Source organism: Homo sapiens, chromosome 2, assembly GCF_000001405.40.
Source record: "Homo sapiens chromosome 2, GRCh38.p14 Primary Assembly".
NCBI classification, from domain to species: domain Eukaryota; kingdom Metazoa; phylum Chordata; class Mammalia; order Primates; family Hominidae; genus Homo; species Homo sapiens.
In genome coordinates, this window is record NC_000002.12 from 77,902,264 (window position 1) to 77,928,843 (window position 26,580).

General features: G+C 34.8%; 3 long non-coding RNA genes across 8 annotated transcripts in view; 1 reads left to right on the plus strand and 2 right to left on the minus strand.

Annotated features, from left to right (window-relative positions):
• LOC101927967 (uncharacterized) overlaps positions 1-26,580 on the minus strand; it is a 547,036-nt gene that overhangs the window by 158,568 nt on the left and 361,888 nt on the right. The window lies entirely within an intron of this gene.
• Positions 13,671-15,746, plus strand: LINC01851 (long intergenic non-protein coding RNA 1851). Its single transcript, NR_110286.1, has 3 exons — positions 13,671-13,830; positions 14,974-15,141; positions 15,440-15,746. It is a non-coding gene; the product is annotated as a long intergenic non-protein coding RNA 1851 (long non-coding RNA).
• LOC105374817 (uncharacterized) overlaps positions 22,200-26,580 on the minus strand; it is a 30,572-nt gene continuing 26,191 nt past the window's right edge. For all 6 annotated transcript variants that reach the window (XR_940269.3, XR_940268.3, XR_940265.3 and 3 more), the window contains one exon: positions 22,200-22,587. This is a non-coding gene — a long non-coding RNA (uncharacterized LOC105374817). The remainder of the gene's footprint in view (positions 22,588-26,580) is intronic.

Consider the following 26,580-nt stretch of genomic DNA (forward strand, 5'->3'; position numbering starts at 1 on the left):
AAGATTAAGAACTGAATGTATCATTAGGATGCTGGTAGCAATGAGGAGCTAAAATATTATGTGAAGCTACATATTCTATGTTTCTTTCTTTTTAATGAAATATACTTACATTTCCATTACACTCTTAGACTCCAATTAATCCAACACAAAAGCCTCTCCAAAAATGCCCATGTGAATTTTTCTTATATGTTTAGTTCACTCCCACAATAACATCTAATTATATGAAACTTCAAATGAATAAGGGGAGGCTATTATCTAACAAATACCTTAAAGGAGGCAACTGCTTTTCAAATTAGTTTTGAAACACTGCTGGCATTTTTTTTCTATTACCCCTAAATGAAACTGCTAACCTTAAGAGTATTTATGGGACCAGATTTTTAATTATATTTGCAAGCTATAGGGGTCTGGTAATATGGTAATTTAAAGGAATTAATGTTTATTGGTGTTTACTACATTTTAGCTACCATAAGCTATAAAATTTTTTTTAAATTCCACTTCATTTTTGCACATTTAATAACTAAAATGGTAATATCTGCTCATCTTCTGAACTAGTAAGGTTTGAAGGTTTTCATACGCATATCTAATATTCAGTAAGATGTGAATTACTACAATTTTTCAAGAATTCTACCATTTAACATTATATGAATAAGAAACTGAGGCAAAGAATATTTGTGGATTGTCCAATGTAAAACAACTTGTATCTATAACAAACCTAATGCAGAAATGGAAAGCTAACTGAATTTAGCCCCAGAAATGAGGCAGCCCCTTTGTCTATTATTTTCAAAATGTTTGATAATTCTCCATCCATTTGACGAAGGCGAATGAAATTGTTTAAAATGGTCATGTTCTAGGAAAGACTATTTCTGACATTTTCAATACTACATCAAACTCAGAATGCCTAGAATCGTCCCAAGCACCTCTTCTTCCTCCACTGTTCCTCTTTTCCAACTTGATAGACACCTCATATTTCCTGACATTTCCAGTGTTTTCCTATCTATTATTAGATAGGAAAATAGGTTGGTCCTCTCCACTGAACAACATTTCAGTGCTGTTCTATCATGTTTTGTAACCTCTTTTCAAAAAATATTCTGTCTTCAATCTCCACACTTGAACACCTCTCCTTAGACCCTCAACAGAGTACAACTCTCTTTTGAGATGAGAGAAGGTCATTAAATGTAAACCTCTTCAAATCTCCCTCCCTACCGCATTCTTCTACCTCATTTAAGTTCAAGCCCCAACCCTGGAAAAGAGGGCCCGATCTGATGCACATGCCTAGTAATACCAAAATCTGCTAATGAATCTTGTTCAACAACTTTTTTTTTTTTTGAGACGGAGTCTTGCTCTGTCACCCAGGCTGGAGTGCAGTGGCGCGATCTCGGCTCACTGCAACATCTGCCTCCAGGGTTCAAGCTATTCTCCCGCCTCAGCCTTCTGAGTAGCTGGGATTGCAGGTGCCTGCCATCATGCCCGGCTAATTTTTGTATTCTTGTAGAGATGGGGTTTCCTTTAATAAATGGCTTTGCAATAATTAGGAAGCTTTTGCTATCAAATGTAAATATAGATATACTAATGAATATATCTATTTTGAAATTATGCCTTTTCTTGGCCTCCAAAGCAAACTTTTAATAATGGAGTCTATTTTGTCTTCCACCAAATATCCAGCCACCCCTATTCTTTTTCTCATAAAGTTTCTGCTTCTTTTTATTCACCATTTAAAAATTCAATTGTTTTTAGGTTTGTCCCCTTGTCTCTCTTCAGTTTTAATACTGAGCATTGGCTCAGAATTATCTCCTACCTTTATTCAACAGCCTTTCATGAACCTTACAAACCACATGGTTCCCCCCCATAAACTTCTATTATAGTATTTAATACCCTTTATCAAAATGATTTGCTTTTTTGTCTATTATTCTATTATTCCCCTATTTGTCTATACATTTTTATCTATTATTACTCCCATAAAACCATGGAGTGTTTAGATTCAGGGACCATGTCCTCTTCATCTTTGAGCACCTCATGTGCAGCATAGAGTCTCAATCTACTGTATCTATTGTATGATTGAGTAAATACAGATCTACTCAATCTATTGTATGCACTCAAGTATTCATTGATTGAATAAATGAGTAAACATACCTTTTGACCTAAAGTAGATGACTCTTTTCTTATGACAGAAATTCTCATGTTTATCAGACAATGAAGTACGAGCAAGATCAGTTGCTGATGTTAGCCTTCTCTTTTCAGGATTCCAAACAGCTTATCTTCTTTCTGACACATTAATTATTTGCATATATTTGTAAACTTGCATGACTCTTTTTTATATTTATTTTTACTTTTCTCCAATTTTGCCTTAAATTTATTGAGTTCCAGAAAATCTCTCTGTTTCTTATTTTAAAACTGATGGGTATTTGTGAATTTTGATCAGTGTGGCTCTCAGCAGATGAGCTTATTTTTAAATCCCTGCTGGCCCTTATGCACTAAATATAGCAAGTAAATGAAAAAAAGGCAGAGTTTTAAATGAGTTTTCTGAATTCAAGTCGATTCATTTGCACATTTGGAATAACATACCTAATTCATTCACTCAAGCTACTCATGCTACTCAAAATCTAACATCCTTGTATCCCATAAGTGAATAATCACTTTCACTGTCCTCTCCTTGCTGGAGAGATGGGAAGAGTAACTTACTAATTAATGACCTCACAATATTCTCCAGTTTGAACGGTCTCTTAAATTTGCAGTGAATTCAGGTTCATAGTCTTCTTCTGAGCTAGTTTAGTCTCCTTTTGATGATTCAGTTTCTTCCAGGTGATTGCTCAGGTTTCCTATACTGCCTATTCATCTTCTGGATGGCTTACTGAGTGGTTAGGATAGGCGAGAAGACACCACAATTCTGGCTGAAGAGTAATTCCTCTAGTCTGTGATGTCCTTTGCTACTCTGGTCCCTGGATTTATGACCACTAATTTGCAACCTGTTCAATCTAGTCCTTTGGGCACTGAATAGTACCCATTGCCACAGTCTGATCAGAAATTTGCACCAGTATCAAAGAATCCACTCTCCCTATCTCTTTGTTCTATACCAGGCCACTGCTTGTGGTCCTGCCTTCTCCACCCTTCCATAATCCCTCATTGTGACTTATTGGAATATTTGGAATGCACGCATGCCCTCTGTGGAAGTTGCTGCGCCAGGAGTGTTCTGTAAGGCTGTCAATTAGGACACATTTCCTAGCAAATTGTGTACTCTCTCTCCAAGGACATATTGGGTATGGCTTGAAGGCTTGGAGTCTTTCCAGGCTATTCTTCCCAATCTAAGCATGCCCTTACTCATCACTGGCTGGCCAATTTATTGGAATTTTTAAATATTTTCTCTCTCCTTGAGGTTCCATGGCAAGAGAGAGAAATAGAGAAAAAAGCACAAAGATGGGTATGTCTGTCTCTTGCCTTTACTGTAGTCCCCTGCCCTAGAAATCTTCTGCTTTATTCACTTCCTCCTTCTCCCGGAGAAGACTTCCATTCCATAAAACACCAAGGTAAAACCCCGCATTTCTGGCCCCTGGTATGTCTGTGGCATGCCAAAGAATTTAGAAACACCTCTTTCATCTTAATGATTCTCTTAAAACAATATCATTGCTATGTTCATACAAGAAGTGTTTGTGACATATATGTGAATAATTGCATTTTAGTTCTAGCTGGTATCAAATACCTGTTGATAGGTCAGTATGGAGATATAAGGCAAAAAGACATAGAAGATCCTGAAATAAATGAATAAACATTTGCAAATACATTTAACCACTACACACATTTTAATAGTTTTTATATCCTTGTCATGGACATCATAGTACCCTCAAGACAAAGGTACTCATTCTTACTAGGTGCTGGAAATAATGTCTCTTAATGGCACTGCATCCCTCTCCATTGACTGACCTTGGCAAAGAGGAGCTGTCTCATCTGAAGTTATATCCCTTCTTTGAGGCAGGCCTATTTTCAATAACTGGTTGATGAAGGGTACAAAGGCTAAATCTTTTGACTTCAGAACAACTCTGAATCTCAGCAGCAGCTGCCATACAGTCTGCTGAAGCTTCGGAGGCAAATATATCTCAGTTCAACCTCTCCCTCTGTGAAAGTCAGCTGCTTCTATTTCCTTACAGGTGTTGTCCTGAGAGCTCTCCTCAATCAATCTTCTGCAAGTAAATCTCCCTTTAAGACTCTTTCTTAGAAAATCTGACCTCTGATAATTGAATGGAGATTTTGGAGCCAGATGCCCTACTCTGTGAAAACTGCATTATAGTACAGTATTCCCCTCTAAGCAATTGTATTTTCCTCACTCACATATATTTTTCTCCAAAGCTCTCCTCAGCAATCACCTCATGCATACAAATCTTCGCCAGAGTCCGCTTCTTATGGAAACTCATCTATGACAATCCACCACTATTTTAGGAATAGTAAAGGGAACAAAATATTGTGCAAGTAAAAACTAAGATAGCAATACCTTAAATTTTCAGAGTAATTTTATATTTTGCCAAGCAAAGTGATATTATAATCTTTGATTTGATCTACTTGAGTAAAATAGTAGGAAAGCAATAACATTGAAAGAAATCAAGTAGCAGTATTTACTGAGGATTAACCTTCAAACCTGTACTGTTGACTTGAATTTCTCTGTATTAACCTGCACTTCTGATAGTGACAGGAGGCAGCCAAATGGCTAGGTAGATAAAGATGGGTCCCTGGTGAAACTCCACCTTAAAGACAAAAAACAGTCCGAAGGCTGAAAGTCCTAACTGCTAATCCTGCATGAAACCCACAACCCAGAGTGAGAACTTCTGTTCCTGTTTGCCCACCCTTTCCTGATTTATTCTTTCTAAATAATGCCTTTTAACCAAACGAATGTTGCCTTTTCCAATACTGTTATACTACAGCTTGCTCCTTCCCTATTCTGAGCCCATAAAAGCCCCAGACTCAGCCACATTGAGAGGACTTTTTCTGCATTCTGGTAGGGGGACCACCCCTGCATCCCCTTTCTGTGGAAAGCTGTTTCATCATTCAATAAAACTCCCCAACTTGCTCACTCATTGATTGCCAGCATATCCTCATTCTTCTTGGATGCTGGACAAGAATTTGGGACCCACCAAGAGCAGACACCCAGAAAGTCTGCCTCACAGGCCTTCTGCCCTCACTGGCAGAGGGCAGCCACCACTCACAAAAGGGCCAGGGGCCAACTGAGTGGCCAACCAGATCCTGCACTCACTTGCTCACATGCTCCTTCCTGCAAGGAATTGAGTGTAGCAGGCCAAGTAGACATGGCAACCCTGCTGTGAGTCCAGCAAAGGGACCAAGAGAAAATTCCTGTCACTTTCTCTAGTGGTCTGAGAAAGGTTTTGATCTTACTACCATGGAAATAAATAGTAAACAGGCCCAATGAGAATTCAATCTCCCTATATCTTGCAAATAATTTATATGACCACATTAAACACATTGAAAATTACAAAGAAAGAGAAGTATATCTTTGAAAGTATGTGAAACAAGATTCAGGAGAAAACATTTTATATTCTCTAGATCAGGGGCCCCCAACCCCTGGTATGCAGACCAGTACTAGTCTGCATCTTGTTAGGAACCAGATCGCACAGCAGGGGATGAGTGGTGGGTGAGTGAGCGAAGCTTCAACTGTATTTACAGCCTCCCCTCATTGCTCAGTTACCACCTGAGCTCTGCCTCCTGTCAGATCAGTGGCAGCATTAGATTCTCATAGGAGAATGAACCCTATTTTGAACTGCACATGTGAGGGATCTAGGTTGTGTGCTCCTTATGATAATCTAACTAATGCCTGTTGACCTGAGGTGGAACAGTTTCATCTTGAAACCATCCCCAACCCACCAACTGTGGAAAAACTGTCTTCTATGAAACCAGTCCCTGGTGCCAAAAAAGGCTGGGGACCACTTCTCTAGAATATAAGAATATCTAGCTTCTTGTAAATTAGTAGCAAAAAGTCATGAGGAGATAAAATCTGGAAAGAAACAGGCATTGGGGAGCAATGAAATAAGTATGCATGAAGTAAAATGTGTAAAGAAATTAAAGCAAATTTACAGCATCCACACTGGCAGCAGTAAAAGGCTAATGTAATAAAGCAAAAAATAAAAGTTGCACCATGGAAGATGAACTCAGGGGCTTTTCCTGTATTAATTTATTTAAATGGAAAAGTAAGTGAAAATGACTAATATGAAGGGAAAACTAAAGAATCAACAGAAAGATCATTTGCAATGCTGTGTGTAGAAAAAATTGTAAAAAATATAACGAGTGATAGAACAAATAATCCTTTTTTGTACTAAAGGAAGTCTTTATATGAAGTACTTATGGGACAACAAAATCAATTTTAAAAAACACATAAGGATTTATCATTGCAATTTTTGATAATTATAAGGAGTGGGGGAACAATCAGATTAGAGTTCTTGATGAAACACTCTTTTTTTAAAGTGACCTTTAAAACATTTAACAATCTATGTTGGCTAATATTTGCAAAGATATTCCTGCATATGTTGGTTTTGGGAAACAAATGAGCACACAACTCCTTATTTCAAAAGTTTTAATTCAATGTGCTTCACTATTGGCAAATATAAAACTTAACTATAGAAGAAAAACATAGAGGGCAATAATATTTAATATCACTTAATACACACTGGGGTTATAGCTAAATAATTCCTTTAAATCAGGTTATAAAAACAAAACTGAAGGTTTAAATATACTTTATATAAAGGATATATATTAAATAATGATGAAATAATAACCCACAACAATTCTTTATTGAATTACTATACTATCCAAGCATAATTGATGCATATCTTATATAACTTTCATCATGATATTATCATGTATATATTTCTATTTTACAGGTGAGTAAATAAAACTAATAATTTTTTTTTCTTTTTTCCTAATGACCACAAAGTAAAAAAATAAGGAAAGGTTTTAAATCATCTGTTGCCTGACAATAAATTTGACAACAAATTTTATTCATCTGCTCCATGGAACATATACTAATATCTATATACTTTTTTTTTTAAAAAAAGAAAAGAATGATTTTCACATATGAGGAATTAAAAAACATAATTCCCCTCCCCACACTTACTGGAGGCATTTTTAAGTTAGTTATTGTTAATATTCACACTGCTTCTAATTTTCCTAAAGACACAATCTTACATAATTTTAAATTTGCCATCTTTTCATTCTTCTATATAATTTATCTTAATTCCTTTCTGCTTAGAGCTTTTTATTCTCTCCCTTTTTGACTTTTTTCAATAATGGCCAATACCATTATTTTTCCAAGGCCTACTGGCTTATTCTTTGTTTTTTGTTTTTTTTTTTTAAATTTTATTCTATTTAATAGAGATGAGGTCTTACTATGTGGCTCACATTGGTCTTGAACTTCTGGACTCACACAATCTGATCTCCCACTTCTGCCTCCTGAAGTGCTGGGAATATAGGTGTGAGTCACTGTCCGTGGCCCCATTGGCTTATTCTTAACTGATTAGAATAGAGCCATAGGTGCGTATATATCCTTGGTTATTTTGTCTCTACCTGCTTCTATATATTCCACGTATCCCATAAATAGATGATGAGGACATCTTTTCCAAGCACAATATCCACCTGACATGCTGTTTTATATTTTATAATCTCCCTTAGTTGGCCTTTAAGGCTGTGACCCACTGGTCTCCTAACCCAATTTAACATCATACTTCTTGCTAGATCTAAGACTGAAAGTAGTGACATACAAGGTAAAATGCATGCACATTGAAAGTAGGCAGACTAGAGTTAGAATTCAGGATTCACCATTTACCAGCTGTGAGACATTGAGGTCATTTGAATATTTTCCTCTTTAAGTAATCATATGTTTAATAATAAAAGTAGAATCCACATTGCAAATTTTTTGTGATGACTACATTTCATACCTTTTTGAAATCAGCTATCCTGTTGTGAGGGCTCAAAAAATGCTAATCAATGTCCAAATTGAATGCATAGTTCAGTTGTGAAAGTTTTGTTCTTAAAATAATATATTCTCTCTTTCCCTCTCTCTCTTTTTTCTGTGTCTGTGTCCGTGTCAGAGGTGGGGTGGGGTGAAGCGTGTGTGTGAGATTCCCAGCTGAGAAAGTGCGGGCTTAAAGTATTTCAAAAATTGTAGGCTGTGTGTTAAAATATTTATGAGGGTTGTTAAATTACTACTTTTATGATAATAGTTTTGTTAATTTTATAATGGTATTCAACATACAATGTATGATTTTTGTTGTATTTCTTGCTTTTTTATCTCCCAAGTTTAGATGCTGCTAAATAAATAAATAAATGTTCAAAACTTAAATATTAAAAGAAAATATTTGTTGGTACTTTTGTTGTTACTATTGCCTTAGCTTTTGACATTAAGTTACTGTTGGGAAAGAAAGAACATTTACGCTAGTCTTGATGTAACACATTTATAAAAAAGTAACAGTTAAATCTATAAAACTTATTTAAAAGCGATTGGTCAGAGCACAGTTTCATTTTAAAGTTGTCATTTAAGAATACTCAAATGCACATAATAAAAGTTGACATTTCATAGTATTATCTACTATTCAAAAATAATTCTTATTATTTTTCACTATTGATGTCATGTTGAAAGAAAATAGGAACATCTCCTATTGTGTATTAAATGCTAAGAAGTCGTCTTCTTTAAGAGAACAAGGGGAATTGGAACACATTTTCAATAGACCCCCACCGTCTGCATCACAAAATATAGAAATAGTGTAAAATTTGTATTGTGTTAACTAAGTAATGCAAGAAGAGAAATTCAGTATGAATAAATAAATCTGTAAGAGAAAATCCTGGAGTGTGCACTTCTTTGCAGAGGTCCTTATGGTATATACATAGGTAAGTAGCTAGACAAACCAGTGGAAAGATAGAGAATATTACTGGCAACACTGCTAATTCCCCTATTGTTTGCCATCAGGATCTTTGATATTCAGTGAGTAGAATTTTTAATCTTTACTTTGGGAAGAAAAAACACGAGGCAGATTTCTCTGAATTAACAGAGTACTATGACAAGATCATATTTTAAAAAGTCTTATGTATTTAACACCTTTAAATACCTACTTTGTGTTTTAATTACATACTTTGTGTTTTAAACAATTTTTTCTGTTATTTAGATGAGATTTAGAAATGTCAAAAATCAAGAAAATAGGAAAGAGAAAATTATTCATAACATTAGCAACAAAACCATTTTAAAAGAATATGTCTAATTTTCTTTTTGGTACATGGTGATTGAGAAGTTTTTAAAAATGTTGCCTCTCCTGAAGGAAAAGATGGATAATTTGGGGATATTAAATCTGTCCCAATGCAAAGCTTTATCTCCTCTAAAAGAGCTATTTCTCTAATAAATCAGGAACAGTATTTTAATTATGTATGGCATTTATTTCAGCATTCCAATCAGTGCAATTCATTGGACAGCTTTCTTTTGTCAGGCATAACACACAGACAGATGAAAATTTATCCTGTAACCTCAAAAATCTAACAATTTTTAAGAGAGATATAGAAATATATCAAAATATAATATTTCAGATATCACTGGAACTTTTGACAGTCATCATATATGAAACCACAAAAAAGCCTTAATAAATTTATAAAAATATAAACTCATTCTCTTATGGAAATTCAATAAAATTATAAATGAATAATAAAATGTCAGGCAATAGACCTTTTAGTTGGAAAATTGTAAACTCCCTTTAAACAATTATGGATTAAATTAAAATTTCAGAATCTAGAAAATAAACCACATATCAGAACTTATCATATATAACTATGAAAGAGCTCTGAAGTAACGTCATTATATCAAACTTTCATAGTACTTGATGAAAAAGAAATAAAACTAAATGAAACACTTCTATAATTAGCTATCATGGCTCCACTTGTATTACACAAACTCTTTTCTTGAGAACAACTATAAAACTAGATAACACACCAGGAAAATAAAAATCCCAACTGTTTGAAGGCATGAGAAAGAGAGCAATAAATTCAGGACTTGAAGGGGATAGAAGAAATATTCTTTCCCTGAATCCTTTCTCCTCTAAGGTCATTTCTCGATTCTTGACGCAAAAATTTGCAGCCCGGTTAAAAGCAGCAATCTAGAGGTTTTGCAAAAGTATCAAAGGTCTGGGAAGATGAAAATTGGAATCCAGATCAACTAAAGTAGCAAAGTCTTGAAACCAAGATTAGGGAACCCGTTATTAGAAGCCAAGAAAAGGAAACTACAGATATGAGCCTGACCTTCTATGTGAATTTAGACCACAATTTATTGCCAAATTCTAAAGGGGTAAGAGACAGCAACCAGCTATAAAACTGCCTCACAGAGCTGAGGAAAAAAAAAAAAAAAAAGCAATATAATGCTCAAGCTTAACAAGAAACTGTGTACTTGGTCAGCATGCTAGTATTTCTATTGAGATCCCTGATAAGATATAACCTAGGAGTAGGGCAAACTAGAATTAGACATGACTTCTTCCCTTTTAACAGCCACTCCACGTCCAAAGGACTTCAAACAAATGCAATTGCTAATGGGGTCAGTTGCTTATTCACCCTACTCGCACTCTGGTCCATCCAAGAACTATCTTCTATTAGGAGACATGTGGAATCATCCAGAGGCTGTGTGATTTAATATATACAGCATCTAAGATTAAATATAAAATGTGGTAACTACATGGTGCGATAGAACTTGGTGACCAAATGCTAAGATAAAAGGTCAACATAAAGATACCTGAAATAGTTCAGATTTGGGAGCTATCAGGCACGGACCTTCAGTTTGCTGTGCTTAATATGGTTAAGAAATAGATGACAAGATGGAGCATCCCACAACTGAACCTAATCTTACAAATATATAATTATATATAAATTCTATAGTAAAATATAATAACCAAAATTAACAACTCAGTAGATGGGTATGATAGTAGAGTAGATGTAACATCCCCATTGAAATGGTACTAAGCATTTGGAAACAATTAGGTTAAGAAAAGATCATGAGAGTTGGGTCATCATGATAGGGTTAGTGTCCTTATAAGAAGATTCCAGAGAGCTGGATGGCTGTCTGTCTGCCGTGTGGGGACACAGGAAGAAAATAGCTGTCTGCAAGCCACAACGCAGACTATTACCAGTTATTAAATAGCTAGCACTCAGACTCTAGGGCTTCCTAGTCTTCAGAACTGTGAGAAATAAACTTTTGTTGTTTAAGCTACCCAGTCTATATTACTAAATTATAGGAGCCCAACCAGAAGAAGACACCAGAATATTTTCTAGATCAGTAGAAAACATTGAGTGAAACAGGAAAGCAGAAAAAGTTAAAAAATACAGATAATAGTATAAAATGATTATGGAAAAATATACAGTTCTAATATACAGGTGATTAAAATACTAAACAGATTTAGAATAGTTTCGCAAGCAATATTTGAATAGATAGTAGAAGAGAGTTTATCAAATTAATACAAATCCTACGCACAAAAATTCAAGAAGCCATGCAAACCCCAAGTGGGATGACCTCCCTGCCCCACCACACATAGCCCATAGGGTACATTAAATAAAAGTATTAAAAACTAAAGTCAAGGACAAACATTTTAAAACAGCTAAAAGAAAAAAAAAAATTCATTTCCTTTAAAAATGAAACTTTAGGAATAACAGTTATTTTTATCAGAAATTCTATAAATTAGAAGATGATAAAATGGTGATGAAAACACTATCAACACAGAATTTAGTATCTAATGAAAATAACCCTCCATGTAAAACATTGAATCTAAAATGTCTACTTAATGGGCCCACATCACTAAATCTAAACCGATCTCATTTCTTACTCCTTCCTGCTAAATTCCACATCCTTAATATGCATTTCCAAACATATTTTGCTAATTATGTTGACATAAATTTGAAAATTTATGCAATTCTTTTGGTGTTTACCTCACCTTCTTTTGTAATGTATTCTTTGGCTGTGTTGGGACATGAGTCTAGTTATAGGTCCATCGGCAAAAAGAGGTAGATAATATGATTCAACATGTAAATATTATTTAAGATTTCTTATATGGGTTTACCTATCACGTGTAAGATGCATACCCATGAGCATATTTGCATTTTTAAAACTATATTTTATAATAATTATGATTATCTCTATAGGATAGATTTTTGATAAATTTGCTTTTAAAAATTCTTACTTTATTTTGTTATCCTAAATGAGCATTTATTAGTGGCATAAAAATCCCCAAAATTAAAGATCATATATGTGAATTATTTATGCAATAAAATAATTTTTAATAAATACTACAAACCTAAACATTTGACACAGATTTATGACTTTCACAACCTCAACACTTAGAGTTAGATCTAGGGCTAAAGAGTGTGTCTTCAGAGATGCAGGAATTGAATTATTAGGAATATTAATTACAATTTCAGTGTCTCAGAATAGAAGGCTCAGCTTAGGAAAAAAGTGGTTTAACACTAAGAATATTACAGTAAAGCCCAACATACTTTTTAAAAATGAAGGCCACAGGATGGATCATGGATCCATCTGGAAGAATTTACATGAATGAAATTGGGGGAGGGGGGGCTTTTTTCTGTTTTTTGGTATTTCTAAGTTGAGTAATGCTATAACTCCTAAAATTAGAAGCCTGCAGATAATATAGGACCTATTTGGAAAGCATAGCAAACATTTATGTGCAAAAAATAAAAATGAGATGTGGGATGGAAAAGTGAATTTAAACTTGGCAAAAGAGGCAAAATAATGTAAACATTTGGAAATATTTAGGACAGGACAAATTAGGCTGGATCATAATAGGTGAAAATGTCTGGAGAACAATACCACTAAATGTAATATTTCTTCACTATGTTGTCACACATGGGCTCATAAAATGTACATACCAACACAATCCAGTTAAATAGCATTTTATTAGTTTTTTTTTGTAAAATTATGACTGGAGGTCATGGCAATGAGATTATCATGTGCCTTTTATAACAGGTCACATAATACCTTTTGTGTACATTAAATTTTAGGAAATGTTTTATCTCTGCAAACGAATTTGTAAATTTTCTATAGTCATAAAAAGAATACAAAAAAAGCAAAAAACAAAACATTCTTGTTATGGAAAGAAGAGGACATATAAAATATATACTATAAAAACTTAATGGGTAGATTTCATCTTTCCTTTGATCAATATTGAAAAGAATGTATGTCAGACTAATTCTCATCTTTTAGCAATCTCAATAATGGACACAACTAAGCATATTTCCACCTACTAAAATATTTTCTTATGTTCAATTCAAATGCTTTTTCTTTGTTTTTTTGCAGTGAAGTTAGGTGTGAAGTTGCCCGACTATAGGCAACAAGGCCATTTCTTATGGGGAATGTTGGTTCTGTTCAATAATATATGTTCAAAAAGCTCCTTTTCATGATGAAAACACCTGGGATAATATGGCTTTTGAATACTTTCTGATATTGCAAATAAATAAAACTTGAAGCCTTTGCCTAAGGAAAAAAGAGCACACCTCAGGAAATGAGTTAGATGTGTTGGTGTCTTTGCACTTTACTGTTGCCGTGCATCACATTTATGATGACATAATAAATAGTCATAATAGAAAAAGGGTAGTTAGAATAAAATAAAGTGGCCCATCAAGTATTCAGCCCAAGTTTATTACCACAGTGGACTCGGGTTATAATTACCAACAGAGGAGAGAATAACTATAAGTTATTTTGATGTAAAAAGCATATTATCCTAAGCCAACATAATAACACAGTTTTTATGAAGCACAATAATTACTTTGAAGACTCACAGAAGTGCATTTTTCTAAAAGAAGGAGGTAAGTGTTGATAAGCTTCTACTGAATTTTACAGTTGCAATGAACAAAAATAATTGTCATGGCAAAATAATAGAAGTGTGTTGATTTTCGTTGCAATGCTTGAGAGATTAAATTGTAAAATTAAAAAATACTTATTAAATAGTATGAAATGTATTATGTTTAATGTATTTATTTCGAAATGACTTTTTTATAGACATTTTTTGTATATTAAATGTTGTTTGTTGTCCTTCACTAGTAGTATGCAGATTGTTATTGTTGCTAAGAATGCTTTTCTGTAATACTTTAGTGAATTAATATAGGAGAAAATGGCTTTAAAGTAAGTATTTATTTAAATATCTACTTTATAAAACTCTCATTAAGATTTGATCTCAAGCTACTATGATTTTATCACTATATTTGATTTTACATTTGGAAGCTTAGAGAAAAATCAAATGTTATCCCCAGTTACTTAATGTCTGTTAAGTAATTAAGGCTCATTAATATACATTTGAAAGCAAATGACAGGCAGTTAAAAAAAAAAAAAACAGGGTCAGGAATAAGTCATGGTAGGACTAAGCTGTTATGCTGGGACAGCATGGAAAGAGGTATGAGTTTGTACAAAGACTATTTATACAAATCTGACTATAGGCTATATGCTGATGGACCAGATTGATCATGAGGAAAACACCTGACATAAAATAGTTGAATATCTTAAGTTTAGTGATACGTGAGTAGTTTTAGAAATGTAAGGAGAAATAAAAAATATGGTTGGGCACAGTGGCCCACACATGTAATCCCAGCACTTTGGGAGGCCGAGGCGAGTGGATTGCTTGAGTTCGCGAGTTTGAGACCAGCCTGGAAACATGGGAAACCCCATTCTTCCAATAAAAATAAAAATAAATTAGCTGGGTGTGGTGGTGCGTGTCTATAGTCCCAGCTATTGGGGAGGCTGAGGTGACAGGATGGCTTGAGCCTGGGAAGCAGAGGTTGCAGTGAGCGGAGATCGTACCACTATCGCACCACAGTGGAGGCATCCAGTTCAGAGCTGAAAAATTCCTTGAAACATTAATTTCTCATTTTTTCTGAGATACCTTGTATATTTAAAGTATAATAAATATGAGAAAATATGTCACATTATACTTTTACTGATTTAACTATTTTCAGATTCTCATACAGAAACAGATTAACAGAAACAGAAACAGCAACACTAGAGAACAGCAAAATAGTAACATTTCAAATAGTAACATTTCAAGAAAATATATACACCTTCACAGTATGTGGTGGTATCCACTTACTGTCTACTGCCTCCATAACTCCTAAAGTCTTCTGAAGGTGAGTGGGCAACAAAAATTGTTAAAATACAATGGTTAAGGGGGGTAAAACATTTTTGAACCATGTCTGTACCACAACAAAACACCTGATGGGTCAGTGAGAGAGAGCACAAAGGAAATAGCTCTGTGCTTTCAATTCCAGGTAGTATACTAAAAATAATAATCTTATTGCTTTCCACATTTAACAAATAGAAGTTAACTAATTGTCAGTAGGTAGTCCATTTACATTCTCATTTATCATTATTTTTATTCTGATTATATGTTTATTATTTCTCATTTTATCTATTTCCTCATTTCAGATTTATTAATGCTTTGAATATATGAGCCACCGTTTCTTTTCACAGCCTTTTCACAACTGGGAATTCTTTAGAGAAAGGCAATCTTACCTCATTTACTTACTTCATCAGTAATGCCATTACTATGCCTACCTAAGAAGAAAATATATCATGTGGCAGAGGACTAGAAAGAAAAAACAACAACAAAAGGCTGTGAAGATTTGATCATATGCCTACGTGTGTGGTGAATACAATATTTCTTTAATCGCAATCAGGAATATAAATCTTATTTTGATGCTATGACATAATAAAGTGCATTATTTTCCTGAAATTTTCCTCTTGTCTCTGTTTTATATTTGCATAAATAATCCATTTAAATACCAGATTCTAAGATAACATTTGCTATAAATGGTTTTAATTTTATCAGGAGAAATATATTCAAAGGTGTTGTGAACTTACTTTATTTTCATCTATCAATTTATAATTTCTACACAACAAGGAATAAAAACAGATTTGCATCTCATGTCAGTATAGATAATAATTGTCTCTTCATTAATTTTACATTTGTCTATACACCTAAAAAGAAACCAAGGTGTTCATAGTGGAAAAAAAATACTTCTTGACATATTTTAGTCATTATTTCTGCAAATGTTTCTTGAGAATCTACCTTTTGCCAGGCACTTTGTGAAGTTATGGAAATAGCAATGAAAAAAAAGGGGTGCAGGGGTGTGGGGATCCCTGCCTCTAGTGAGTGAAACATGTAGAAGAATGATAAACAGAATATTCCAGTTATTGACATGGTTTGGGTATTTGTCCCCTTCAAATCTCATGTTGAAATGTGATTCCTGATGTTGGGGATGGGGCCTGGTAGCAAGTACTTGGGTCATGGGGCCGGGTCCCTCATGAATGGCTCTGTGTGCTTACCGTGGTAGAAAGTGAGTTCTGGCTCCATTAGTGCACCTGAGAGCTAGTTGTTTAATGGAGTCTCACATCTCCCTCTGGATAGGCATCCAGGCAAAAAAAACAGTAGGTGTAAAAATAGAAAGAAGGTTAGCATGCCTGGAGAGGAGAATAAGAAAAACCAAGGTCGATGGACCACCTAAATTCTTGAACAAAATTTGTTTAATGGAAAATTCTAGGTTAAATCTTCAGAAAGTATAAAGATGATGAGACTGAAATAAAACATGCATACTTCAGACTTTGAAAAAATAATTAGCTCCAGCTTTCTCACAGTGGGACCTATTCTAGAGAGGGTTACAGAAATCTCTATTTTTTTTTTTTTTTTTTGAGACAGAGTCTTGCTCTGGCACCAGCCTGGTTCAAGTGGTTCTCCTGCCTCAGCCTCCCGAGTAGCTGGGATTACAGTCACACGCCACTATGCCCAGCTAATTTTTGTATTTTTAGTAGAGATGGGGTTTCACCATGTTGGCCAGGATGATCTCAAACTCCTGACCTCGTGATCTGCCCTCCTTGGCCTCTCAAAATGCTGGGATTACAGGCGTGAGCCACCGCGCCTGACCAGAAATCTCTAGTCTAACATCATGCCCATCTCACAATCAAATACAACACTCGCACATGATAACACATACACTGGCACTGATCTGGGGATTATTCCAACAATTACAGTCCTCTATTTTCCTACATTTTATTTTACTTAAATTGTTTTAAGCACAGCATACATAAAAAAATTAAACTGATATATATTTACAGTTCCAAAAAGTTTTACAAAGTAAAAACATATACAACAGCCACTCAGACAAAAAAACAGAAATTGACAGTACCAAAGAAGGCTCTTCTGTCCTCTTCTAGGAATTTTCATCTCCAAATTAACTTTTTTTTTTTAATTAGAGCAGATAAATTCTGCCTGTGCACATTAAGCACATGCTTGCACCCAATATATACTCTTTTATGTCTGTTGTTTTTGCTCAGTATTACACCTGTGAGATTTATACTCTGTGAGGTCTGACACACATATTTTAATTAGGGAATAATCTCTATTGTATGAATACACCACAATTCATTTATTCCTCTACTGTTGATGTCTAGCTATGTGGAATATAGTGTGAAAACAATGATGCATTCATAAACGTTCATCAGCATTTACTCCAGATTTTAAATATCTTGCACACTGGAGTACATAAAAAATACATCAATGGATATGAAGTAATGAAAATACTGGGCAAAATGTTTGAGGCATAATCAGAGGCCAGGATGCTAATATAAATAGTTCATTGCATTGTGTCCAATGGAATATGCAAACATTCTAGATTGTGACCAAAAATAGAGAGGAGCTCTGCTAAGCATCATTAAAGAAAAGCAATTCAACCAAAAGATAGGTAAGACCAACATGAAGTTAATTCCTACTGCTTCTATTGATAAGACCAGAAAGCAAAAGAAGCATTTTTTTTTCTTTTTTAAAAAAATTGTATGTAGGTTTACTAACATTTTCAGTTACTGGAGGTTAGTACTAGCAATGATTAAATTATTCTCAAACTGTCAACGTGATTGGGGATCATTTGAGATGCAGGAGACCAGATAGTCAAATATAAGGTAAAACCAGTGGTAAAAAGCTTCACTTTCTTCTAGACGATTATTAGAAGATGCTGTGACAACTGGCTTTATGATGCCAGAGCAGAAAGAAAAAAAATAATAGTATTTAAAGAACTTAGTATTGATCTACTCAGTATATACCTGGGCCCAATTCACAAATTCACCTAGCAGTATTATCTGCTACAGAAAAATCTTGAAATTCATTAAAAATTTACCAAATTAAAATGGAAGAATAATCTCGATTATCAATAGTGAGTGGCCTCTTGGGAAAGAGAGCAGAGAAAGCAGTCTCTCCGCCTCTCTAAGTAAGTACCTTGGTGTTACATCTCACGTTTTGCCCTGAAACAAAAGATACAAAGCTATCTAAATTCTATCCTCATTGACTTCATCAGATGAAGAATTTTATTAGGCAATGGAAGAATATGACTGAAAAGAAATTTTCTTTTGCAAGTGAAGAGAAGTGGGGGTTTTAAACAGTGCTATGTAATGCCTTTTAAGACATTTCTGACTAGTATTTCCTTAAAATGCCACAGAAGGCAATTCTGTAGGGTCAAGACAAATAATTATGTATTCAATGAGGCGCTTCTACTAATAAATCCTTAAATTTCCTTGAGGGACAACATCATGAAATCCCACATTTTTGCATTAAGGTATAGAGTATGCTATGTTGTCTAATAAACAATTACCTAGTAATAATGTCGAGTGCACACACACAACACATGCATACACACAAATACAATACATACCCATATGAAGGGAAAAGTAAATAATATATTACTCCTGGGCTAATAACTTATTGACTGCTCAGACAAAGGGACAGGTTGATGTAAGAGGCAGAGGGGAATTTCTTTGGTTCTTTTCACAAATAAATCATGGTATGATAAAAGATACCCTGTAGAAAACATATTATGAAAAAAAAATCATGTACCAGACAACTTGACCATAAATCTACTTGTGATTTAATTGGAACGGTATAGCCTACTGAGCTAACTCAATGAAGGTGAGGATAGGGAAAAATATTTCTCTTTGGGATTAAAACCACATAATATATTTTTATTATCTAGAATGATGGTGTATATGAAGGATAGCTGGATATCAAAACTATGCCTTCTAAATGTTCGTAACATAGGCAGGAATAATGCATAATTCTTTCTCCAACATCTTATCTAGCATGCTTTATTTTCCTGGCTTTCTCTTTGCTCACATTGATTATTTTATCTACACGGTACTACCCTCAAAGATTGCAGCCCAGAATCTAGACTTGTGTTTGAATAAACATAGCAAAATGTAACAATGACACTAATAAATGCACCTGTACGTCAATGCTACATTTTAAAGTAGTCCAAATCTTGCTCCTAGGTTTCGTTTGGCTATCACACTTTCTTTGACTTTCACTGCTTTTATCTATAACCATAGTGATTCACAGATAGCTAATTTTATACCGTCACATTTTGCGTGACATCCTGGGATCTCCTGATATTCAAAATGTTTTTTAAAAATTTTGCCTGTGTTAATGTTCACTTTTTGTACAGTAAATTTCTATGAACTTTGTAAAATAAAATATTTAATACTTTATTATTTTGTTGCTCAAATTGTTCTATCTTTGGCCATTGGCAGCTCTTTCTGTGGGCTTCTGTGTCACTTTATATAACCTCATCATTTTGTGTGCATGTGTTTACACTAAAAGATGCACTAGGCTTATCTTGTCTATATTCTGATCTTAAACTCAGTCATTTTCTTTTTTTTTCTCTTTTTTGAGATGGAGTTTCAGTCTTGTTGCCCAGGCTGGAGTGCAATGGTGTGATCTTTGCTCACTGCAACCTCTGCCTCCGGAGTTCAAGTGATTCTCCTGCCTCAGCCTCCCAAGTAGCGGGGATTACAGACATGCACCACAATGCCTGGCAAATTTTCTATTTTTAGTAGAGACAGGGTTTCTCCATGTTGGTCGGGCTGGTCTCAAACTCCCGACCTCAGGTGATCGGTCCCCCTCGGCCTCCCAAAGTGCTGGGATTACAGATGTGAGCAACTGTGTCCAGCCAAACTCAGCCATTTTCTTACAAGTCTGGTTCTTTTTGTTGGAGGATGGTATTAGAAACCGAGATGTTAGTGTTAGGTGTACACTCATTGCTCTGGGTGTCATTTCTTCTAGGCCCACTCAGCTGACAAAGAAGGAAATATATGTGTGTTTACCAATCCATATATATATACATATAAATATTTCTATATGTCATCAACATCTATAATAGTATAAAAATGAGTTCATATCGATATCTCCAATTCTAGTCTATTACCACATGTACTTTTCTAGCAAATTCTCTTTGCTCATCTGTAACTTTCCACTGCAACAGTGAGAAATCAGGCTCCTGCCATCTGTCATCCATTTACTTAATTTTTTAGTTTCAGAATATGCATACAGTTGAATCAGAATTCTTAAACCCTATCCTCATAGCCGATATTTCATCAGTTGGAACACAGTACTTTTACAGTTTCTTTGACTTTAGTCTTAAGGAATCCACTTGTTTCCAAAATTACTTAGGTCAGCATTCTTTACACCCACCCCATTCAGTGGGGTTTCATGCATTTATAATATAGTTTTGTCACATTCTGCATTACCTTCTGGGATCTCTTGCTATTCTAAATGCTTTTTAAAATTTTTATATGCATTAATGTTCACTCTTTGTGCTGTAAATTTCTATGTGCTTTATAAATGCATATTGCCATGTAGTCTTCATTACATCAACAAATAGAATAGTTTCACTGCATTAAAAATTATCTACTGGGCTTTACTTAAAACATTTCTCTTCTTTTACATTTTCCAGAACGTAATATAACTGGAATCATATAGAATGTAGCCTTTTCAGACTGGCTTTTACACTTAGTAGTATGCATTTACATATAATTATGTTTTTTTGTGGCTTGATAATGCATTTCTTTTTATTAATGAATATTATTTTGTTTTATTGATATACCACAGTTGATCCAATCATCCATTACAGAATGTCTCGGTTGTTTCCATTTTGGAAAATTATAAATAAAGCTACTATAAACATTTGCAGGACACTTTTTGTGTGTGTGATGTGTGAACATAAGTTTTGAAATTAGTCAGTGGATATCTAGAAACAGGATTGCTGGATTGTATGCTATATTTATGTTTAGCTTTGTAAGAAACTGCCAAACTGTCTTCCAAAGTAGCTGCACCATTTTGTAGCTGTACAGTTTGCATTCCCACCGTCAAAGAATGAGAATTCCTGTTGTCTCTCATCCTCATCAGCAAGTGGAATAGCTGTTCTTTATTGGGCTTTGGTTTTATTTTGCTTTATTTTTGGATTTTAGTCATTCTAATTAGTTGCAATGCGTTTTGTTGTTTTAATGAACAATTCCCTAATGATAAATGATGTTGAATATCTTTTTCTATGCTTATTGGCCATCTGTATATCTTGTTTGCTGAGGCATCTGTTCAGATCATTTGCCAATTTAGGGGTTGTTTTCTTATTGTTAAGCATAAAAGCTGTTTTATATTTTGGATCTAAGTTCCTTATGAGATATGCTTTTTTGCAAATGCTTTCTTGAGTCTATGGCTTCTCTTTTTATTCTCTTAACTGTCTTTCACTGAGTAGAAGTTTTTAATTTCAGCAAAGCCTAATTCATCAATTTTTAAATTTCTTATGTCATGCTTTTGATGCTGTGTCTACAAACTCATTACCAAGCCCAATGTCACATGGAGTTTTATCCTATGTTTTTGTCTAAACATTTTTAAATTTTTAAACATTTTATATTTAGGTCTGCAATGCATTTCAATTTTTGTAAAATTGTAAAGTCCATCTACATTCTTTCTTTGTACATGAACTTAATTTTTCTAGTAACATTTATTGAAAAGCCTATTCTTTCTTTACTGAATGCCTTTGTTATTTTGTCAAAAATTGTAGAGAATAGATACTATGATCTATTTCTATTCAGAATGATTCTAAGGCCATTTCCCCCACACCAACCTATTCTCCAACTTTTCAGGCACCAACTGGGTGTCCTACAATTCAATTCAATTCTGACCCTAACTACCTGGACTTACATCAGACCCCACAGGTCAAGGGCTCAGTCCCACAAGAGTGCCCTCATTTCAGATACCAATAGAAAGTCTAAGCCACTCATATTTTTGACTAACCAGCTATAAATTGGATTTCCACAATCCTCTCTCCAGGTTTGATGATTTGCTAGAACAACTCCCAGAACCCAAATAAGCACTTAAAGTTACATTTATTAGTTCACTATAAAGGATACAAATAGACAGTCAGAAGAAGGGTACATAAGCAAGACACAGAAGGGTTCTGACCACAGGAGTTTCTGCCCCACTGAGTTAGGGTGGGCTACTCTCTAGGCACATGAATGTCTTCATCATTGTGGTGAACCTGGGGTTTTCTGAACTCCTTCATTTAGGGTTTTTAAGGAAGCTTCAGTATGTAAGCATTATTGATTAAACCAGTAGCCACTGGAGATTGAGCTCAATATCTGCCCTTTCTTTCCTCCCCAGAGGTAGAGAAGGTGAAGCTGAAAGTCCCAATTCTTTTATCGCTGATTGGTTTCTCTGGCAACCAGCTTTCAGAATATGCTTTATCTTGGTGGAAGTTCTATAAGAGGTAAAGAAGAATGTATCGTCACTCTTGTTGAAAGGATTATTCTATAAATTGAATTCACTAATTAGAGTGATAGTGCTGTTTAGATAATCTATACCTTTAATAATTTCCTACCAACTTGAACTATTAATTACTGACGAAGGGATACTGAAGTCAGCAACTATGATACGGAATTTCTCTCCTCCCAGGCTTATCATTTTTTTATCTCATTGGTTGTGACTCTCTGTTGTTAGATGCATACACTTTCAAGATTAGTGTATCTTCTTAAAACTTAATCTCTTTATAATTACAGGAATGCCACAGGTATATTGTAGGTTTGGTTCTAAACTATTGCAATAAAATAAACAACACATTTTTTTCATTTCCCAGACATATAAAGGTTGTATTTACAATATACTGTAGTTTATTAATTGTGCAATAGCACTGTGTCTAAGAAACAATGTATATATCTTAATTTTAAAATACTTTATTGCTAAAATAATGCTAATGATCTACTAAGCCTTCAGTGAGTCATAATCTTTTTGCTGGTGGAGGTTCTTGCTTCAATGTTGATGGCTGTTGATTGACCAGGGAGGTGGTTGCTGAAGGCTGGGGAAGCTGTGCCAATTTCTTAAAAAAGACAACAGTGAAGTTTGCTTCATTGATTGACTCTTTCTTTCATGAAAGACATCCCTGTAGCATGTGATGCTACTTGACAGCATTTTATCCACAGTAGATCTTTTCTCAAAATTAGAGTTAATCTTTTTAAAGTCTACGGCTGCTTTATCAACTTTATGTACTAATCTGTGTTGTCATTTAAACAATTTGTACAGCTTCTTTAGCAAGATTAGATTTCATCTCAAAAACCATTTTCTTTGCTCATCCATTAGAAACAACTCCTCATTTTTGGAAGTTTTATTATGTGATTGCAGCAATTCCATCACATCTCCAGGCTCCACTTTTAATTCTTGTTCTTTTACTATTTCTGCCTCAACTTTAGTTACTTCCTCCCCTGAAGTCTTGAATTCCTTAAAGTCCTTCATGAGAATCAACTTCTTTGAAATCCCTGTTAATGTTGATATTTTGACCTCCTCCCATGAAACAGAAATGTTCTTAATGTCATATAGAATGGTGAATTCTTTCCAGAAGGTTTTCAATTTACTTTGCTCAGATCATCGGAGGAATAAAATATATTTCTTAACTAACAAGACTTGAAAGGCAAAATTACTTCTTGATCCATGGGCTACCAAGTTGATGTTATATTAGAAGACATGAAAACAAATTAATCTCCTTGCAAATCTCTGTCAGAGGTCTTGGGTGACCAGGAGCATTGTCAATTAGCAGAAATATTTTGAAAGGAATTTTTTTTATTTTGAGCAGTGGATCTTAACGGTGGGCCTGAAATATTCAGTAAACTGTGTTGTAAACAGATGTGCTGTCACTAAGGAAACATTGTTGACTTTATTGAAAAATTGAATTGTCATTCATTGAAACATTGTTGTTTTATTGATAAAGCATAGACAGAGGGAATTTAGACCAATTATTAAGGGCCCTAACATTTTTGAAATAGTAAATGAACAATTGCTTCAACTTAAAGTCACCAGCTGCATTAGTCCCTAACTGGAGTCAGCTTGACATTTGAAGCTTTGAAGTCAAACATTGACATTTTCTCTAAAGCTATAAAAGTCTTAGATGGAATCTTCTTCCAATATAAGGCTACTTCATCTACATTGAAAATTTGTTGTTTAGTATAGCCATCTTTATCAATTATCTTGGCTAGATCTTCTGGATAACTTGCTACTGCTTCTACATCAGCACTTGTTGCTTCACCTTGCACTTTTATATTACGGAGACAGCTTCTTTTCTTAAACCTCATGAACCAACCTCTTCTGGCTTCAATCATTTCTTCTACAGCTTCTTTATCTGTCTCAGCCTTTATAGAGTTGAAGAGAGTTAGGGGCTTGCTCTGGATTAGGCTTTGGCTTGGGGGACTGTTGGGGCTCTCTACAGCCCCACAAAAACTTGCTCCAAATCAGCAATAAGTTTGTTTGACTTTCTTATCATTCGTGTGTTCTCTAAACTAGCTGTTTTGAATTCCTTTAAGGACTCTCACTGTGCATTTACAAGCTGGGTAACTGTTTGGTGCAAGAGGCTTCCCTTGCAGCCTGTCTCAACTTTAGCCATGCCTTCCTCACTAAGCTTAATTATTTCTAGCTTTAGGTTTAAAGTCAGATAAATGAGATTCTTTCTTCCATTTGAAAACTTAGAGGTCACCGTAGGGTTATTAATTGCCATAATTTCAATATTCTTGTGTCTTAGGGAATATGGAATTCTGAGGAGAGAGATGAGGATGGATGATATGATTAAGCTTTGTGTCCCCACCCAAATCTCATCTTGAATTACAATCCTTATAATCCCCATAATCTCCACATGTCAAGAGACAGACCAGCTGGAGGTAACTGAATAGCGGGGATGTTTCCTCCATGCTGTTTTCATGATAGTGAGTGAGTTCTCATAAAATCTGATGGTTTTACAAGGGGCTCTTCCCCTCTTTGCTCAGCATTTCTCCTTTCTGCTGCCTTGTGAAGAAGGTGTCTTGCTTCCCCTTTGCCTTCTGCCATGATTAAGCTTCCTGAGGTGTGTCCCCAGACATGCTGGAATGAGAGTCAATTAAACTTCTTTCCCTTATAAATTACCCAGTCTCAGGCAGTTCTTTATAGCAGTATGAAAATGGACTAATACAATGGGAATAGGGCTGTTCCATGGAGCAGTCAGAACACATACATTTATCAATTCAGTTCATCGTTTTATATAGTCACTGTTCATGGCAACACAAAACAATTACAATAATGGCCTCCAGCTCCATACAGGTTTTTCCGAAGGACATAATTTTATTCTTTTTATGGCTATGTAGTGTCCCATAGTATATATGTACCACATTATCTTTATCCAATCCACCATTTATGGGCACCTTGTTGATTCCATGTCTTCTCTATTGTGAATAGTGCTGCAATCAACATATGTGTGCATGTCTTTTGGTAAAATGATTTATTTTCTTTTGGCTATATACCTAGTAATGGAATTGCTGGGTCAAATGGTAGTTCTAATTTTTTTTTTTTTTTTGAGTCAGGTTCTCTCTCTGTCATCCTGGCTGGAGTGCAGTGGAGTGATCATGGCTCACTGCAGCCTCAGCCTCCCAGGCTCAATCAATCCTCCCATCTCAGGCTCTGAGTAACTGGGGATATAGGTGGGTGCCACCATGTCTGGTTAATTTTCGTATTTCTTGTAGAGATGAGGTTTCACCACGTTGCCCAGGCTGGTCTCGAACTCCTTTGGCTCGAGATCCAGCCACCTCAGCTTCCCAAAGTGCTGGGATTACAGGCATGAGCCACTGTGCCCAATCTGTGTTAAGTTCTTTTAGAAATCTCCAAACTGCTTTCCACAGTAGCCAAACTAGTTTACTTTCCAGCAACAGTGTATAAGTATTTTTCCACAGCCTTGCCAACATCTGTTGTTTTTTGACTTTCTAATAATAACCATTCTGACTGGTATGAGATGCTATCTCATTGTTGTTTTGATTTGCATTTCTCTGATGATTAGTGATATTGAGCATTTTTCATGTTTTTGGCTGCTTGTATGCGTTGTATTAAGAAGTATCTGTTCGTGTCTTTTGATAATTTTTTAATGTGACTATTTGTTTATTGCTTGTTCAATTGTTAAAGTTCCTTATAGATTCTGGACATTAGACTTTGCCAGATGCATATTTTGTAAATATTTTCTTTCATTCTATAGGTTGTCTGCTCACTCTTTTGATAGTTTCTTTTGCTGTGCAGAAGTTAAGCTAATGTGTGTATACAGTTTTAGATAAGGGTCCAACTTTATTCCTTTGTATGTAAGTATTTGATTTTTATTTCACTATTGATTTAAAAGACTGATCTTTCCCCATTGAGTGGTTTTGGCATCCTTGTTGAAAATAATTTGACCACCTATGCAGGAGTCTATTTCTGG